At 58.4% G+C, this 16,908-nt stretch overlaps 1 protein-coding gene across 6 annotated transcripts in view, besides 6 other annotated features; it reads left to right on the forward strand.

Annotated features, from left to right (window-relative positions):
* Nucleotides 788-932: an enhancer, noted in NCBI's record as "145 bp 13:113543499 sequence used in MPRA reporter constructs". NCBI's record gives its function as "activates a minimal TATA-containing promoter with rs1278772 allelic activity by MPRAs in C283T melanocytes {active_cell/tissue: C283T}" and the evidence as "EXISTENCE:reporter gene assay evidence [ECO:0000049][PMID:36423637]".
* Nucleotide 860: a transcriptional cis regulatory region, noted in NCBI's record as "rs1278772 or 13:113543499 MPRA-significant variant associated with a GWAS melanoma risk locus at 13q34". NCBI's record gives its function as "allelic transcriptional activity by MPRAs in C283T melanocytes {active_cell/tissue: C283T}" and the evidence as "EXISTENCE:reporter gene assay evidence [ECO:0000049][PMID:36423637]".
* Nucleotides 3,452-4,201: an enhancer, noted in NCBI's record as "H3K27ac-H3K4me1 hESC enhancer chr13:113546091-113546840 (GRCh37/hg19 assembly coordinates)". NCBI's record gives its function as "activates a minimal SCP1, AML or CMV promoter by ChIP-STARR-seq in primed H9 embryonic stem cells {active_cell/tissue: H9 hESC(primed)}" and the evidence as "EXISTENCE:reporter gene assay evidence [ECO:0000049][PMID:30033119]".
* Nucleotides 6,010-16,908, forward strand: part of MCF2L (MCF.2 cell line derived transforming sequence like) — a 205,408-nt gene continuing 194,509 nt past the window's right edge. For 4 of the 6 annotated variants that reach the window (NM_001438391.1, NM_001438392.1, NM_001438393.1 and 1 more), the window contains exons 1-2: nt 6,010-6,106; nt 13,874-14,046. In NM_001438391.1, the coding sequence (NP_001425320.1) occupies nt 13,878-14,046 (169 nt within the window). In that variant the 5' untranslated portion in view covers nt 6,010-6,106; nt 13,874-13,877. Of the gene's footprint in view, nt 6,107-13,612; nt 13,779-13,873; nt 14,047-16,908 lie in introns of those variants that run through there. The other 2 variants (XM_011537483.3, XM_047430222.1) reach the window with 2 other exon arrangements.
* Nucleotides 9,644-10,149: an enhancer, noted in NCBI's record as "H3K27ac-H3K4me1 hESC enhancer chr13:113552283-113552788 (GRCh37/hg19 assembly coordinates)". NCBI's record gives its function as "activates a minimal SCP1, AML or CMV promoter by ChIP-STARR-seq in naive and primed H9 embryonic stem cells {active_cell/tissue: H9 hESC(naive and primed)}" and the evidence as "EXISTENCE:reporter gene assay evidence [ECO:0000049][PMID:30033119]".
* Nucleotides 13,593-14,469: an enhancer, noted in NCBI's record as "H3K4me1 hESC enhancer chr13:113556232-113557108 (GRCh37/hg19 assembly coordinates)". NCBI's record gives its function as "activates a minimal SCP1, AML or CMV promoter by ChIP-STARR-seq in primed H9 embryonic stem cells {active_cell/tissue: H9 hESC(primed)}" and the evidence as "EXISTENCE:reporter gene assay evidence [ECO:0000049][PMID:30033119]".
* Nucleotides 14,470-15,344: an enhancer, noted in NCBI's record as "H3K4me1 hESC enhancer chr13:113557109-113557983 (GRCh37/hg19 assembly coordinates)". NCBI's record gives its function as "activates a minimal SCP1, AML or CMV promoter by ChIP-STARR-seq in primed H9 embryonic stem cells {active_cell/tissue: H9 hESC(primed)}" and the evidence as "EXISTENCE:reporter gene assay evidence [ECO:0000049][PMID:30033119]".

Genomic DNA, 16,908 nt, shown 5'->3' on the forward strand with positions numbered 1-16,908 from the left:
AGGGTGGGAAGGCCTGGCCCTAATGAGTGACCCAAACTCGCTTCACCTCCCCCTGCTCTCCAGACAGAAGACATGAATCCTGAAAGCGAGATGCCCAGTGACCCTGCCCACTGCCCAAGGAGGAGGAAGCCTGGCCCTCCCTGCCCATCAGGGCCTCCTGGGGAAGCCAGAGGGGGATGCAAGCTTGCCCTCCACACTGGCCCATCTGTCCCGTGCCAAAGATCTTTTCTTAACTGCAGATGCTAGGTCACTGGGGGCCTCTGTGGGTGTTTAGCAAACATCATCAACCACACAGGCCACCCGAGGCCCCCACAGCAGATGATGCCGCCTGTGGACCTGAATGGGAGTGTCTGTGTGCCTGCAGCGGTGAGGATGGAGGAAGGCGTGGCTCGTGTGGCGCTGCGTGCCCCGCGCTGATGCTGGGGCTCCCAGAGCCGCCCACGTGGCCTGTGGCGCACTTGCTCAGTGGCGGGTCCTGAGGTGGACGAGGACTGGCCCTGTCCTGAGGAGGCTGCCGGTCCTTTGCACGCGCAGTGAACCCGCTCACCTCGTGCAGCCTGTCCTGACGACTGCTTTCCACAACAGCATAGCGTGTGGCCTGCCAGTGAACGGGCCCAGGTGTGGGAGGGACGCAGGGACAGAACCCACAGGAGCCCCTTCCCGGTGTCTCGAGAGGTGTCCTCAGGGCGTCCTCGGGGCATCCTCAGGTGTCCTCCGGGTGTCCTCAGGTGTCCTCAGGGTGTTCTGGCATCCACCAGCCTGCCCAGGGCATCCGCTGCTCCCCCACATCAACTGAGGGCTGTTCCATGCCAGCCTCATACTCTCACCTGGGACAGGATTGCTGGGAGGGCTCAGGGGACGGGGCAAGGCCAGCCAAGCCCAGAAGGGCTGGAGGGAGAGCGAGGCCGGCATAAAATGGTTCTCAGCTCATGTGGAGCCACAGATGCTGGCTTGGGGCAGCCTCCAGGCTCTGACAGGGAGGCTGGTTTGTTCAGGTGTCCTCCAGTGTCCCAGCAAAGGGGACATTCCAGCAGCACCTGGGGCCAAGAGAGAGGGAGGAGGATGGAGCCTGGAGAAGAAATAAAAGTTGGAATTAAAAGTTGTTTGCTGGGAGAGGAAGAGCCATGTGCCTATCTCAAAAGCGTGGGTGACATGCGTGCTTCCTGTGAGCGCCCTGCGGAGGCTCGTCTGTGCACCAACACCCCGGGGTCTCCCCAGGTGTGGCAGCACCACCCTGTCCTCCACCTGCATCTCCTCTGGGCGCTCTCCATGCGGCGCTGGGGTCAGGGCCCGCCCCACTGACCTCCTTTTAGCTCGGTCGCCTCTGTAAAGACCCCATCTCCAACCAAGGCCACATTCTGAGGCACTGGGAGTTAGCACTCCGACATCTCTTTTTGGAAGACACAATTCAACCCCCAACACTCCGTTCTGGGGGGCCATGGAAATGCCTCATCCGGCTTCAGGGCAGTCACACCTGGGAGCAGCCGCGGCCTGCGGGGTGGATCCGGGCCTGTGCGGCGGTGGGGTGGGGTTGGAGGGGTGTTTGAGGCCATGGCTGCTCCTTGGATGACAACCTGGAACACACCAGGGGAGCTCGCTTGCCATCGGTTCTGAGTGGCTCAACCTGGGTGACTGCAATGGACCGAGAGGGTCCGGGTCGTCCCCAACCCGCAAAGGCATCCAGGAAGCCACCCGGGGACCCTGCTCAGAGCAAGGCAGAGCCAGACACACAGCAACAGGCAAGCCGCCCCGCAGAGGATGAGCCGAGGCAGCACGCACCAACACGGGGCTAAAGTCAGCATCTCACTCATCTCACAAGGCTTCCTGACTTCTTAAGACATCAGTGGTTACTCTAAAAGAGAAGAGCAGGCCGTGGCGGGCAGGTGACCCCTCACCGTCGCCCTGGGGGAAGGAGCGGGCTGTGGCGGCCGGGTGACCTCTCACCGTCTCTGTGGCGGCATCACTGTCTTTCTGCCGGCCAAGCCATCGGGGCAGCAGAAGAGTCTCAAACAGAAACCCGGCTCAGCTCTTGTTTCTCACCTCCTTGTTTCAGCAAAATTCTCCCCAAAAGGTGGCTATATTTGTTGTCTCTGTCTCCGTACACACCCTCATCTGCCTCCCGATCTGTGGACGGCTTCTGGGCCCTCGTGGGACGGCTGGGTCCTGTCTGTCTCTGCTTCTCAGCGGGCCCCGGCGCAGGCCACCACCCCACCTGCCCTCGTGGTCTGCGTTCTTTGCCTTCACAGCATGAATCTCACCCCGATTTGAGGCTGTGTCTGTGTACATTAACCTATTTTATGTATTTTTACTGAGACATAAGCTCCAAGAAGTGAGAGACTTTGCCTCGCTCTGGGCCGAGCCCTGTGTCCAGCATGGGGCCTGGGGTGCAGGAAGGACGCAGTGACCATGGGGCTGGCTGGACACAGACTCAGGGCCCCTGCCCGGCTCAGCTTCCCAGTGAGGATTCCAGGTGCTGGGTGCCTGGTTGTAGCCAGCCAGACCACCCTGGTCAGAGGTTTCGGGACAAGGGCTGGCAGGAAGCCCTTCCCATACAGCTGGAGCCCATGAGGCCGAGCCCGACGGCACCTGGGCAGTGAGAAGCCAAGACCTCGGCACTTTCGTTCTGGAGGAGGGGGTGAGGGAGGGACAGTACCGCTGTCTTGTCTAGGCAGGGTTTGTGCAGATTTGGGGGCTGGAGGAGGCCAGCGTAGCCCTGCCCTGCTCCCTCCAGCCACCCAGAACTGCAGAGGCGCCAGGCCCAAGTCTGCCTGTGGCGTGTCCAACACAGAAGGGCAGATTCCGAGACAAACCAGGGTGGCTACAGGTTTACAAGGGGGCCCTGTGGTCTTTCCTCTGTAGGTGGGAGGACACTGTCGCCACCTTCCTCGGCTGTGTAAGGCGAGCACAAAGGAGTCTCCCACCTGAGATACGATCACTCCTTTTCTTTCCCGTACAGACATCTCTGTGGGAGCGATGCTTTCACATAAAGCGCTTAATCTCCAATGGTAAAGTTTCCAACACTAAGTCGAGACGTTGGAACAATTTGGAAGCAGATGAACCTTCCTAAACTGCTTATGGGACACAGTGACCACACGGAGATGCCCTGGAAGGATTCCAGCCTTTGGGGTCACAGGCACGGGCACCACAGCTTCCCGGGTGCCTGCTACCTGAGCTCGCTGTAAGTGCCGCACGGCTTACGTGGAATCCACAGAGGCAGCCCGTACTCCCCCCTCCATGTGCAGCGCCCAGACACGTGTGCCGAGGCTGCAGGTGTGCTACAGTGCGGCGGCCAACCGGCTTTCCCCTGCAGCCTCAGCTCCTGCGGGATCTGCTCACTGGTAGGCAGTGACGCCCTGGCGGGAGTTGTCCCTGAGGTCTCTGCTCCTCCTGCTGTGCTCGCAGGGGAACCTGTTTGTGACGTAGTCTCCTTGTGCCCCACTGGGCTTCTGAGGCTGTGAAAGCTGGTGGAGCACAAAGGGCTTGCCCGGCCCTAACAAGCCTGGCCCCAGCAGGGCACCGCGGGCAGCCTCTGATGCGCGGCTCTGGGCCTTTGTCCTCGGCTGAATTAATTTCCTCTTGAATTGCCTCAACTTTAGAATGAGCCCTAGCCTTTTCTGAAGCACACACATCTTGGGGTTTTGTCCTCTGTATTTTCGCTGCATTGGCTGCCAATGCGGAAAGCTTTCATGGAGAAGACGTTCTGGCTTCTTGTCTGTCTGTCCCCTGAGGGCTGCGGGCCAGCTCCATGCCCGTCCACGGTGTGCAGGTGGAGGCATCTTTCAGGGTATCAGGTGGGAATCCGTGCTTCCTGGCAAAGTCTGTTCCAGTGTGGTGCCCACTGTCCATGCGCCTGTGGGTGTGAGCCTGCACCCTGCACGAATGTGTGGAGCGGGGTCGTGGCTGGCTGGGGTCACTGCCTGTCCCCTCCTTTTCCGCAGCCACGGTGCCATCTGCTTGCACGTCCTGCAGGAGATCCTCAGGGCGGGTTCCCACGGGCAGCCTCCCTTTGGACTTTTATTGCTCGATTAAATGATATTTAATTCAGCCTGTCTGACAGTCTGACAGAATGTGCTATGTTACCAGAGGGTCTTATGCCAACATGAGAAAGGGGGCGTTGGTCTCCAAAAAGACAAACAAACAAAAAACAGGTAAGAAACACCATGTGGGCCCACTCTGACCTTTTTAACTGAGGCACCTTTGAGAAGGAAAGCCTGTTCCACTCCGATTCTCAAAGCTCCTGAACGCATTGCTAGTGACAATCCTGTCTCCGTGGCTAATTATGTGAAGAAACGTTACTGGGTTGAGGGAGTTCCCTTGGGTTTAATTTCCTGTCCCTCTCAAATCATCCCTCCTCCTTCCCTGAGCCCAGCCTCCCCCTTTCCTGCCCATGCTGGCAGGTTCTGGCCCTTCCTGGACCCCTCTCCTGTCCCCTGCACAGGTCTCTGCAGGGTTTCTGCACGCTGGGGAGGGCAGGTTCCCCAGTGGAGCCACTCCCTGCGGGTCTGAGTGGGGCCCGGGGTCTCTGCACGGTCACCGATGCTGCTGCTGCTCCAGGGAGCGGGCTTGCAGGAGCAAGGATCCAGTCCCTGAACGCACGTGCTCCCCCCGGGAGAAATTCTGCAGCCAGGCTTGGTCCACGCACCGTCCTCCCGGCCCACACACCCTCCTCCCGGACCTCAGTCTGTCTCTGTGTATCACATGCCTGTTCCCAGTGTTCTGACCTCAGGTGGGCACGGCGCGGTGGACTGCACTTCCCGCTGCTTGCTTGGTTAATGTTTACCTCCCTCCTGCCAGAGCTTTGTTTTCATTTCATTCAAACAGGCTTCCTCTTTTTACCCACTAAATGGAGACATTTTAAAGCTCCAACTGCAAGTGCTAAAGTCTATAGCTGGGTCCACATCTTCCATGATTTCACCTTTTTATGCCACTTTACTTTGTTTTTAAGTTATCAATAAGTTTCCACTGAATCTTGGAGACACAAGAATTAAATGGTGGGGTCTTTTATAGTTTTTTTGTTTTGTTTTGTTTGTTTTGCAAACAACTTCTGCTGCACTGTTAGGTACCAAAGTGAGGCCGCGCTGACAGGGGCCAGCGTCCTGTACCGCGACCCACAGACCAGCGGCTCCTTACCCACTCCAGTACTGAGGAGTGAGGTGGGTTCTTGTCCCTTTTTACCCTAGGACCTAAACATGGGAAACCCTAGCCCTTCTGATACGTAACAGGGGCAGCCCTGATTTCTGCTGCTAACCTAGTTAACTGGTAATCTGTCTGCTCTTTGGCATGCTGGGAGCTCTGTGTGCACTAACCCGTGGACCCCAGGACGCTCTGGGACGGCTGCACAGATGAGAACACAGGCCAGAAGGGTTTGTTAGTGACTTCTCTGATGTCACAGGCTGGTCAGCTCAGCTGGGCCACATTCCAGCGGCCCCAGCCCTGTCCCACGTGCCCCAGCTTTCTCCTGGGAAGCTGCAGGGAAGGGTCCAGCTAGGGCGATCCCAGCTAGGGCGATCCCAGCTGGGTCCCTGTGGGGCTTCAGAGTGGACACAACTTCCCTGCCAGCTGGCTCGGATCCAGGGGGGCAGGTGGGACCCCGTTTTACATGTGAGCCCAAGGAAGTGAGGCCTGGGCCCCAGAAGACCTCCGACCCGTCCCCTTGTCCAGCCCTCTCCCCTCTGGAAGGGGCCGAGGGTGACCCCAGGTGGCAGGAACTGCACCCATTAGGCACGACCCCGCCCCGCTGCCCGCCCCGGTCACACCTCCCCCTGTCGCCCCCTCCCCCGCCTCGGGCACGGCGGGGAGGAGGGGGAAGAGGGGGATGGGTGAGGAGAGCAATGGGTGGGAGAGGGGGAGAGGGGGAGAGGGGCAGGCTGTTCCCATCGCCCCGCCTCGCCGCCCTTCCCCCTCCGCTCTGGGCTCTGGCCCCCGCCCCGCCCCCGCCCCCGGGCCCCTCTCCGCCCCTCCCCCTCCGGCCCGCCCCCGCCCCGCCCCGCCCCTTCTCTCTCCCCGCCCAGTGTCGGCGCAGCCCTGGGAGGAGGCGTCAGGACGCGCGGACACCTGCGGGGCGCGGAGCTCGGCGGACGCGGGAGGGCAGCACCACGGGCGGCAGGTGCGCGCGGGGCGGGGGCCTGGAGGGGGCGCGGGGGTGACGGGAGGGGGCGCGGGGCGGAGCCGGGCAGGAAGCGTCGCGGTCGCTCCCGGAGCGGGGCCGTCTCCCCCGCGTCCCCCTTAGCCTGGCTGGGGACAGGCGCTGGGACCCGGCTCGCGGTCAGGGCGGCCTGGGATCGGCCCCCGCGGCCCCTGCCCAGCGTCCTGCGCTGGGAACTTCGAGGCGCCTGGGGGGCTCGAAATGGCAGTGGAGGAGACCCCGCGAGTGTCCAGGCGCCCAGGGCCCCTCCGCATTGTCACGGGGGCCCTCACACCCCGGCAGGTGTCACCCCCTGGACGGGCTTCTGCCGACGATCCCTTGGGCACCTCGTAGGACCACCCCGGGAGCTCTGCCCACCCCTTCCTGCCAGAGCGATGGGGGGCCAGTGTCCAGGACAGCGCCTAGGGACAGGGCTGGAGGGAAGGGTAGCCTGGGGTCCGGCTGGGGTCGGGCCCACACCTGGTGGCTGGGGACAGTGCTGGAGGGGAGGGTAGCCTGGGGTCGGGCCCACATCTGCATCTTTCATCTGCCTGCTTGTCCCGGGCCAGGGTCCCCTTGGCCACAGGTCCCCAAACAGACAGCGGGAAGGCCGTGGAGCGCGGGCTGGGCGGACTCCTCCTGGGAGCTCCTTTTGACCTGGCTTGGTTGCCGTGGGCCCTCTGTGGCTCTTCTCCCAGCTGTGGGCCCCTGGCCTTGCTTCAGACCCTTATATAGGATGCTGCGGGAGGGCTGGGCCAGAGGGGGCTCTGGAGCCCAGGCAGGCTCACTCCCTGGAGACTCCCGCCCAGGGGCGTGGCCCGCATGACCCTCACAGAGCCGGGACCCCGAAGGGGTTAAGGTGGCCCGGGCCGCCCAGGCAGGATGTGCCGGCATGGCTGTAGGAGGCCCCAGGATGTGTGGCCACGGGGACCGACACGGCTGACCACAAAAATAGAAATGCAGTCCCCAGGGCTGCAGGCTGCAGAGTGTCGGTGTGGTCCCCTCCCTGGCAAGCAGGAGACCCACATGGCCAGGTGGGTGCTGGATGCTGGGACTGAGGAGGAGCCTCTAGCCCCCAGGACTCCTAACATGCGAACTGTGGAGCGAGGGGTCCAGGGCTGGTCGTGAGAACGGAGTGCACACCCAGGCATTGCCTGAGTTCTGCAGCCTCCGTGGGTAGCTGGGGGGACGGGACCCCGGGAGCCTGTGGAGCCCTCAGTCCCAGGGGGGCAGTGAGGACTCTGGGGCAAGCTGACAGCTAGGTGGGCAGGAGACCCGGGTTTTAAGGCTCCCTCAGGACTCTCCTTCAGCTCTTCCCCATCCTGTGGGGCCGGCTCCGCCCTCCCAGGTCCCAACTTCACCGGGCTGTGCAGGGGCCCAGGCGTCCCCGATTTCACCGGGCTGTGCAGCGGTCCCGGTGTCCCCGATTTCACCGGGCTGTGTAGGGGCCCAGGTGTCCGTGGCTCAAACTTCCACATTGGGTATCCCCAAGAACCCCCCACACGTCTGTGAAATGAGGGGGGCCCCTCCCCTGGGGGCCTGACAGAATTGCTGTGAAACCTGAGATTGTGGGAAACTGCTGGAATCCGTGAAGGGTCTGCAACGTTAGACGGTGGGCTTAGGAACCTGCAGACTTTGGCAGGGACCCCGTGGCACCACCTCCCCCATCACTGTGCTGACTTCAGGGCCTGCAGGCACAGCCAGGTGCAGAGGGGAAGGGGCACAGTCATCATCCTCACCAAGGTGATGGATTCGCTGCAAGATGAAAGGTCTGTGTGCAGCTTCACATCTGTCCTTCTCTGGAATTCAGGTCTCTTCACCGCCCCCCCGAGGCCTCCTCCTGAGGTTTCCCTTTACCTGGTCCCCAAATGGGTGGTCCCAGTCACCTCTGCTGTGGAGATGCACCCTTGCTCACATCGAGGACCCCAGGGAAGACTTTGACTGGAATCTGAACGTTTATTTTGGAAAGGCAGCCTCTTGGTGACTCCAGGTCACTTCAGAAGAGAGGCCCCCCCTGTCTTTACAGCCATGTAATTTGCATTTGTAACGTGGTGGGAGAAGGCCTGGGATTGGCAGAGGGCATGGAGGAGATGAGTCGTGTAGATAGACTGGCCAGGAACGCCACCGGTTGGCAGCCTTTTGTCACCAGTTGAGATGATTTGGGATCATTTTTGGAGGCTCCTGGAGCAGCCACAGTTAGCACTGTGACCAGAAGGATGGAGTTGTAAGGTTCTGGGTGCAGCTCACCTTTCTGTTCAGCCCACCCCGCTTCACTGTCTGCAATGGCTCCCAAGGACGCTGTGAGACTCTCATGTGGCAGGTGCACGGCTCTGGGCTGCATCTTGGTGACAGCATCCCTCTGGCATCCCAATGCAGGTTCCTGAGTCCCACCACAGAGCTTCCCGCCTCACAGATGGAACAGGGCCCTGCGTCTTCGGCAGGTACTCAGTGGTGTTTCTAGGTTCCAACTTGAGTCATCAGTGGATTCCCTGTGGAGGGTCCTTCAGGGGACAGCAGGGCACTGGTCAGGGGCCATGCAGGCTGAGAGCCCACCCTGAGAGGAGGCCAGGCCGGCAGAGCACAGGGCCCCAGCTCGGAGTGCGGGTGGCAGAGTCTTTAGTGCGTGGCCAGCTGGAAGCAGCAGTGGCACTTTGAGAATTTCAAGTCTTGTCCAGGGGCCTTGGTGGCCTCTGACTCACATGGCCTGTTCATGGCAACCCCCGCTTTGGGAAAGCTACATCATGAGGGTCGCTCCTGGCGTCCTAAAGTGAACCTCTCCGAGCTTTCAGCCAACGGTAGGATACGGGACACGGTATGGCCACCGAGAAGCTTTTGGACATCTGTGAGGGCCACCATCGTGAACGTGGTGGTCAGGAGCCCAGCATGAACCGGACTCAGTTGAGCATCAGGGCTGCCCCAGCCGGCTCTGCGGGGTTCACAGGAAGCCCACTCCTCCTCCCCAGCCATGCCTGGGATCTCCTCGGAGCCCTGAAAGGTCGTCCCCATGGGGTTCCACAGCAGGGACAATGATGGCTCAAGCGGCCATTGGAACCAGAGCTGGGAAGCTGTGGGACGTCCCGGATGAAATGTAGGATGTAAGTCCCTGTTGGGGGCCATGCAGCCCCACCTGTTGAGAAAGTGAAGAGCATTACTGACATTTCCATCATGATGTAAGGAAATCAAAGCACATCTAGTGAGAAAGTGATGCTGTGGAGACCGGAGAGGGTAACCGTGTTTTCTTCGCAGTCACCATCTTCACTTTTCATTCATTAAAGAAATGGCAGAAAGAAAGCAGAACTGACTCCTGTGGGGACAGGCCCACTTCTGTGTCCAGGTGGGCAGACTAGAGTGAGGCAGAGACATGGCAGGTGGAGCCGTGGTGAGGGTGGTGCTGACTGGCAGTGGGGACTGGAGTGAGGGCTGCAGTCAGGGGTGTCGGCCTGGCACCCGCTCTGTGCCAGGGCCCAGCTGACCTCTCACCCTGCAGCATCAGAGACAGCCCTGGAGGTGCCATGTGGCCCGTCCAGCCCCAGCCCCGGCCCCGGCCCCGGCCCTGGGTCATGGCTTTGCAGCCTTCACTCTTTAGGGAAGGTCTCCCAGCTCCCCCTGTCCTAGGGCCGCCGCCCCCACCTCTACTCCACGTTATTATTAATACTGGCGATTTACAGTGGATGACACGGTGTCGTGAGTGGAAGCCGTGTGGCAGCGGCGGGGACCTTCCTATCTTTAGTGCCCAGTGCCTGGGATGAGACACACTGTGTGACCGCCAGCTCACTGCTTCCCCCGCATGTGTGGCCGACGTAAAGTCCACCCAGTCCTCAGCAGCTTCCCCCAGCACGGACAGGTGCTCCACGGCCTCTGGGCCTCTCCGCGCTCTACCCGAGCTGGTTGCGGGGCGTGAGGTGGGCGCGTGTTTGTTTTGTTCGCTTGGAACCTGTGTGCGGAGGAGGCTGCCCACGCTGCTGCTGGGTAAAGGCACCATCCCCGTGAACCGAGCTCGGCAGGTGCCGGAACTGAGTCCAGGTCCAGCCTTTCACCACTGGCCACTCGCAGCCTCCCTCAGGCCCATCCTGCCAGACACGGCAGCAGCAGGGGTAACGCCCACGGCCATGCAGGCCCTGCTCCTCCTGCCCCAGCGCCCTTCCCTCCCCGGTGGTACTCCCACCCCTGGGACCGTCAGCACTTGCCTCCCCTCCTCCATTTGCTATTCGGCTGCCTGTGTCACTTCACCAGCTATTCAGGCTAGAAGCCCAGACGGCCTCCCTGCCCCCCAAGTCCCTGAGTCCCCAGCTGCCATCATCTCCAGACTCTCCTTGTCCATCACACCTCTGCCTCCCGCTTCTCTCCTCGGGATCCCTCCCCACCGGTCAGCATCAGCTGCTCTCAGGCCCCAGGTGCCACTCTTGGCCCTGAGCTTCTGCCCCTATCCTGCCTGACTTCTCGCCACCTGCTTCAGGCCCTGCACCCACCACCACCCCATCCCACCACCCCACCCTGTGCCCCCTCCCAGGGAGCACCGGGCAGGGCCCCCTCCCCCCATGCCGGGTCTGCCCCCGCTTGGTGGTGGCTGCTGAACCTGCGGAGAAGCTGGCTCTCCCTGGGATCCGAGCTCCTCGGGGACAGGAGCTTCCCTGACATTTGTGTCCTCGGCACCTGCGTCATAAACGAGGACCGAGCAAACGAGTCACAAAGCCGTGCTGACTTGGTGCTTCCGTGGGGCTGGGCCGAGTTCTAGCCGCCTGTGACCGTGTCTGCATCTGTAGACAGATTTAATTGTGTGTGTGTGTGTGCGAGGCGCCTCGCTCAGCCCAGGACCACAAAGCCCAGGGGGCCTGGCTCTCGGTCCAGCCTTCGGCCTTCACTGCTGACGGCTTCTCAAGGTTTTGCCCAGGGGAAAGCAGACGCTCCAAGGGTGGCGGCGCCTGTTGGGTGCCTTGTGGTCAGGCCGGTCTTGGGATTTTGAAGAGAACAGACGTGAACAGGACTGCGTCTGGCTTCATCATCCATCCTCTCGGGGCGGGAAAGTCTGTTTTCTTGCCCTCAGGAAAACCCACTGCTGGAGAAACAGCAGTTTCCAGACTCTCTCTACCCACGTATCTTGGGGTTAACTCTGGTGTCCTTCACCACGTGAGAGCTGTTGTTCGAAGCAGCTGGAGGAGTGAGATCCTAGAGGAAGGAGGAACCTTTAAGCAGGGGCCACACCTGCCCCAAGACTCCTGGCCCCAGGTGTCCTCACACAACACCCAGGGGTCCTCAGGACCCCGGAGCTGACTGGCACCTGCTGCGGAAGAGGATGGCCTGGACCTGCCCTGTGGACGGAGGGATCGCTGCATCCCTTCCTCCACCATGTCAGTGTGACGGGCCGCGCGTGCCATCTGCAGCCTTCACTGGGTAAAAGTGAAGGTCCCTCACCTGGATCTTTTCCACCGTATCTTGAGATCAAGTGGTTAGGAATGCTTGCAGGGTCTTGCCTCATAGTGGAGAGAAACAGCGGAACAGCCCCTTGGGTTGGTTTCTGGATGGGGAGGATGTAGCCCTCATGCCTGGTGTCTACAGAGTCCAGCTTGGGGACGCGATTGCAGCCAGGGGCATAAACGTGACCGTGCACACCTGGCCTTTCATTTTCCCTTTTGGAGGTTTCAGATCACGATCAGCCAGCTCATGTTTGAAATTCTCTGAGGAGAATTTGGAAGAGAAAAAGGACAAAACAGCATTTTGCTTTTGTTTTTTTAACCAGGGACATTTTTCTTCCTACTTTTTAATCATTGAAATTAGATTTAAGCAATCAGAAAATAAGCCTTTAGACCTGCGCCAGGTTGTCCTCAGGTCTGTGCCCCTCCCGGACCTTTCTGCAGAGATGAAGCAGGTGCCCGGACAAGGTGGTGAGCACAGCTGGGTCCCAGTGCCAGCCACTGAGGGTGGGCATGAGATGCGCAGGCAGCCTCGTGGCAGGCTCTGCAAGTCAGCTGGAGAACACGCCACACGTAAACAAAAGACATGTATGAAAAACCACACAGGAGCCAGGACGTGTAACAAGTTCTGAACAGTAGCAGCAAAGGGATGAGTTGAACACTGAGGGGTGAGTGTTTGTGGGGTGGTCTCGAAGGCCTGTGCCCTGATGAACACCAAGGGGTGAGTGTGTTTGTGGGGTGGGAGTCAAGGCTGTGGAGCTTGTGTGTTGGGGGAAGAGGGGCGGGTGGAGAAGCACAGCCTCTGCTGTGAGGGGCATGGGTGTGGCCCTGGTGTCCCCAGAGTGTTTGGGACCTGGACTGTGGGTTGGCGATGGGTATCACCCTGTCCTGGGCAGGCTTCGTCCTTCAGGGCTCCATGTGGTGGGGCAGTGGTTCTCGGGACGGGCCTGCTCTCCAGGGCCGGGCATTGGTGTTTGCAAAGCTCCCTGGGGACTGACAGCAGTGGCCCTGAGAGCGCCTGTGGGGTGGTCTGGGCACCTGCAGGTCTGACCTGAGGGATGGGATGGGGTTTAGCTGAAGACAATGAAAGGGGGAGATGTCCCAGCAGGGGCCTCTGAGCAGGGATTTCAGGTTGGAGGGAGGCAGGCGGCCCCTTCCCAGGGGAATACCAGGGCAGGAGGGATTTCCCCAGGGAGCTGAGGCCCAGGCAGCAGCAGAACTGGGCGACAGGATGCAGTGTGAACAGTGGCGTGGAAAGCGACATCCCTGGTGGAGCCACCGATACCGTTTATTTTTTATTTTATTTTTTTTGAGACGGAGTTTCACTGTTGTGCCTAGGCTGGAGTGCGGTGGTGCAATCTCAGCTCACTGCAACCTCCGCCTCCTGGGTTCAAGTGATTCTCGTCCCTCAGCCTCGTGAGTAACTGGGATTACAGGTGCCGGCCACCACGCCTGGCTAATTTTTGTATTTTTAGTAGAGACGGGGTTTCGGCATGTTGGCCAGGCTGGTCTTGAAATCCTGACCTGAGGTGATTCGCCGGCGTCGGCCTCCCAAAGTGCTGGGATTACAGGCGTGAGCCACAATACGGTTTATTTAAGTAAACTGTTGCTGTCTTTATTCCTAGGGAAGGGGTCCTGCGGGTGGGACGCCAACAGTGGGAAGTAGCAGTGAGCCATAAATGTGCTGAAAGACAGCACGGAAAGGCACCACAGGTCACCGCCTGGGAGGGGAAGGGCTGCCGGCAAGTGACTCTGAGGCTTCGGTTGGAAATGCAGCTACTAGTTTTCTCTTTACATTTAAGATTCTTCCCAAAAACTTCGTGTAAGTTTCTTTGCCAAATTTTCAGTGAGGAATTATGCTTTAAAGTTTCTGGAACTCGGAGGACATTCTCTACTTAGGGGATTTAGAAATGTTTTTAGGTAATCTGAATAAGCAATCAGCACTGATTTTGAAAGTTTGCCAGTTCGGCGAATTAGATACTGAAACCTGGAGAACTAGGGACGTCTATGTCTTTGAAACAGGAGTCTGAATGTCGAGGGGAAAACCTCGGTTGTTGTTGTTTTTCTTTTCTTCAGCAGCAGAAGTTGATAATATGTTTTGCTCCTGCGACCCTTTATTCTGTGTCAGAGTTATAGAAGAAGGTTCCTTGTGTAAGTGAACCCTGATACAGTGGAAATTGACCGGAGAAGAATGAATTTAGTTTCAAACATACTATCTTCACTGCAGAATAAATACCACGAAGGTTGTAACTAGTTATTTCGGTTTTGTTCAGAGCAACAGTTCTTAAGTCTTTCTGCAGCATGACCTCATCGTGCTTTTAAAATCTTTTTTCTGCAGCCTCATGTTTGACTGTTGGAGATTTATCCTGTGCAAGAGACCTGGAAGCAACAGTTATTCTTCCCCACAACGGCCCAATGAGGCCAAAAAGGAGGAAACGGATCACCAAATTGATGTGTCTGACGTCATCAGGCTTGTTCAAGACACACCGGAGGCGACGGCCATGGCCACAGGTAGGCGCCTGGTGCTGCGGCCTCATTTGATTTTGCAGGTCTCACTGCTGATCAGACCTGTGCTGTTCTTTGCTATTCCGGTCCTTTTAGAGATTGACAAGGTTTAGATCCTGGGAATGCATGACCCCCCAGGTAGCAGGCTGTGGGAGGGGCCTCGAATGGGTTCACGTGGCTTTTACCTGCCCAGGTCCAAGTTGGGACGACTTGCCTCAAGATGTGTGGTCATTTGTTTGACTTGGCATTGGTTATCTAAGTGAGTATTTTAAAATGAGTTTGGCTCCGGTTAGAGATCATGAGAAATGTTTCTTTGGGTTCCAAATAAAGCACAGTATACCTGAAGGGAACAATTTGTAGGCTTTGCTTCATTCTTTAGAAACAAAAGAGCTATTGTCTGAATTTGTATGTTTTCATATTAACATGGCAAAGCCTCAGCTGGTCTCCAGACCAGTGCCCCTGCCTGGGCGTCTGGAATTGGCTGTACCCCGAGGTGAGAGCTGGGCAGGCCTGGGGTGTGAGTGGCCTCTCCAAGCTCAGCCTGACCTCCTGATCCAGGCCAGACAATGCTTCTCTCTCCAGCCCCTGCCTGTCTGAATGTTCTGCATGTATTTTCTAACCTGAGCAAGGGGCTGAGTTCTCTGTTCCTAGTTTTGCCTGCATTTAATTATTTGTTGCCATTTCTTCCCAAATTGATTCCAAAATTTGTCACTAGACAAACCCAGTGTGGGCACTCACCACTGAGGGCAGGCGTGGATTTGATGGCCGGGTGCTGGCCTGGCATTGCAAAATCCATCCTCTGGCTGGACAGGACGTGCAGGCTTCCAGCACCAATGGGGTGGCCACTGAGCTGAGAAGGGATTTTGATAATTCTGCTGCCTGCTCTAAATCTGGTGCTTTTCTGGGCCTTGTCCTGAGCTGGCATTTGCGCTGATTAGTGGAGTCTTGGGAGTTGCTGGGTCAAGGCATCATTCTGAGACTTTCGCATTCAGAGTCCATCCTGTCCCCATCCCACGGCTGCTGCCCTGAGGGCTGGTGCCCAGGAATTCCCTCCTGTTTCGTGTCTTCAGGTGAGAACTGCCCTGGCCCTGTCTTCAGAGCTCAGCTCTGTGTGTCTGCTGCTGTAGAAAGAGATTCCACCTGGTGACTGCCGAGTGTCTGTGGTTCCCTGGCCCAGTGGTTCTGGGCCACAACTTGTGTAGACTCTTGCACTTGGAAACGCAGGCTGTTGGTTTAGAGCTGGCTGGCTGGGGGGCTGCGTTTCGGTATAGTCACCCCAGTCAGGGTATGTGCTTAGTTCTGCGGGATTAAGAATTTGATTTCCATCACTTCCCTTGTCAGTGACTGTCACGAATGAGAGGTGAGGACTGAGCCTCTTGGGACCTCTCACGGACTGAGAACCAGGTGCTCTCATTATTCCCTGGCACACCGCCTGCTTCTCTGGGATGTACACACCTGAGAAACCCTGTGAGCGAGGAGACAGCTACTTCCTACAACAGTGAAGCGGGGCTGTCAGGACAGTGCTGCACACAGCTTAGCTGTTGTGCAGGGGGCTTCAGAAGAGGGCAGGAGTGAGGGGCTACTTAGCGCGTGCAGACAGCTGGCTGCCCTGACCTCTGCAACTGGAAGGTTGCTGAGTCTTCCCGCGCTCAGCTTGGCTGTGAATTAACTGCCCGTGGCCACTCAGAACCTCGGACTGGTGCCTTTCCCTGAGCGCCCAAGTCTCGCGTGGACCAGCTCTGGGGACTGAGGAGCTGGCCGCGGTTAGGGTTAGGGTTAGAGGTTAAGGTTAGGGTTAGGGGTTGGGACTGGGGTAGGGGTAGGTGTTAGGGGTAGGGGTAGCGTTTGGGGTAAGGCAGATTTAGGACTAGGGTTAGGGAACCCTCACAACTGAACCAAGTGCTCCTATTATTTCTCAACGTACCGAGCTCTCCCAGGCTCAGGAGCATGTCAGGGTCCACCGTGCACCAGCCGTGGAGCAGAGCCTGGGCCCACGCTCTGGCTTTGTTCCTGCCCCTGCTGACCCCACAAGCTTGGGTGGGTTGAGAAGCCTCTGCAGTGTGGGCAGCAGTAGTAGCATCCAGGCAGCTGCTGTGAGGAGCCCAGACATGTGGCTGGTCAGAGCACCCACTTAGCAAGCCGTGGCTCTTAATAATGTCACATCTGACTTCTTCCTCCCCTAACTCGCAAAACCTCTCTGATCCCTGAGTCCTGGAGGCCCAGGGCTGGCTTTACCAAGAAAGCCCTTTAGGCAGCTTCCCTCCAACCCTGGACTCCAGGGGATTGGAAGATAATCTGCTTAGAGTTCTGAGCGGTGAAGCCCTTCTGGCTGTCCTTGCCTCGTCTGCTCTGTGGAAAGAGAAGCGCACGGCGTGGACTGCGGCCTGCGGGAGAACCGCACTCGGCTCTCAGGCCCTGCCTGCACCACACCTGCTCCGTCTCCAGGTGACCTGGGGCCTTGGCAATGTCCTAGCCCAGCTGGCTGGAGACAGTTGGTGGTGATGAAACCTGTTTGTATCAGAACAATTTCGAAATCAGTGATAGTTTTTTTTGTCATAAAATAGACACCCATGAAATGTACCATTTTAACTACTGTCAAGTGTAGAGTTCCCTGGTATGAAATATACTCACACTGTTGTACAACCACCACCAGTGTCCATCTTCAGAACTTTCTCATCTTCTCTGAAACTCTGTCCCCATTAAACACCCGCTCCCATTCCCCCTGTTGGAAATAAGAACTCGGAGTTGCAAAGAAAACGAGCACGTAAATAAAGGATTTCTCAACAAGGCAAATTTACTTCTGCAGAAGGGTGCTGCTCACTCTTCTGGTCGCTGCAAGAGCACACCGAACAAAGGAGGAGAGGGGGT

The sequence above is a fragment of the Homo sapiens genome, chromosome 13 (assembly GCF_000001405.40).
Source record: "Homo sapiens chromosome 13, GRCh38.p14 Primary Assembly".
In the NCBI taxonomy this organism is placed as follows: domain Eukaryota; kingdom Metazoa; phylum Chordata; class Mammalia; order Primates; family Hominidae; genus Homo; species Homo sapiens.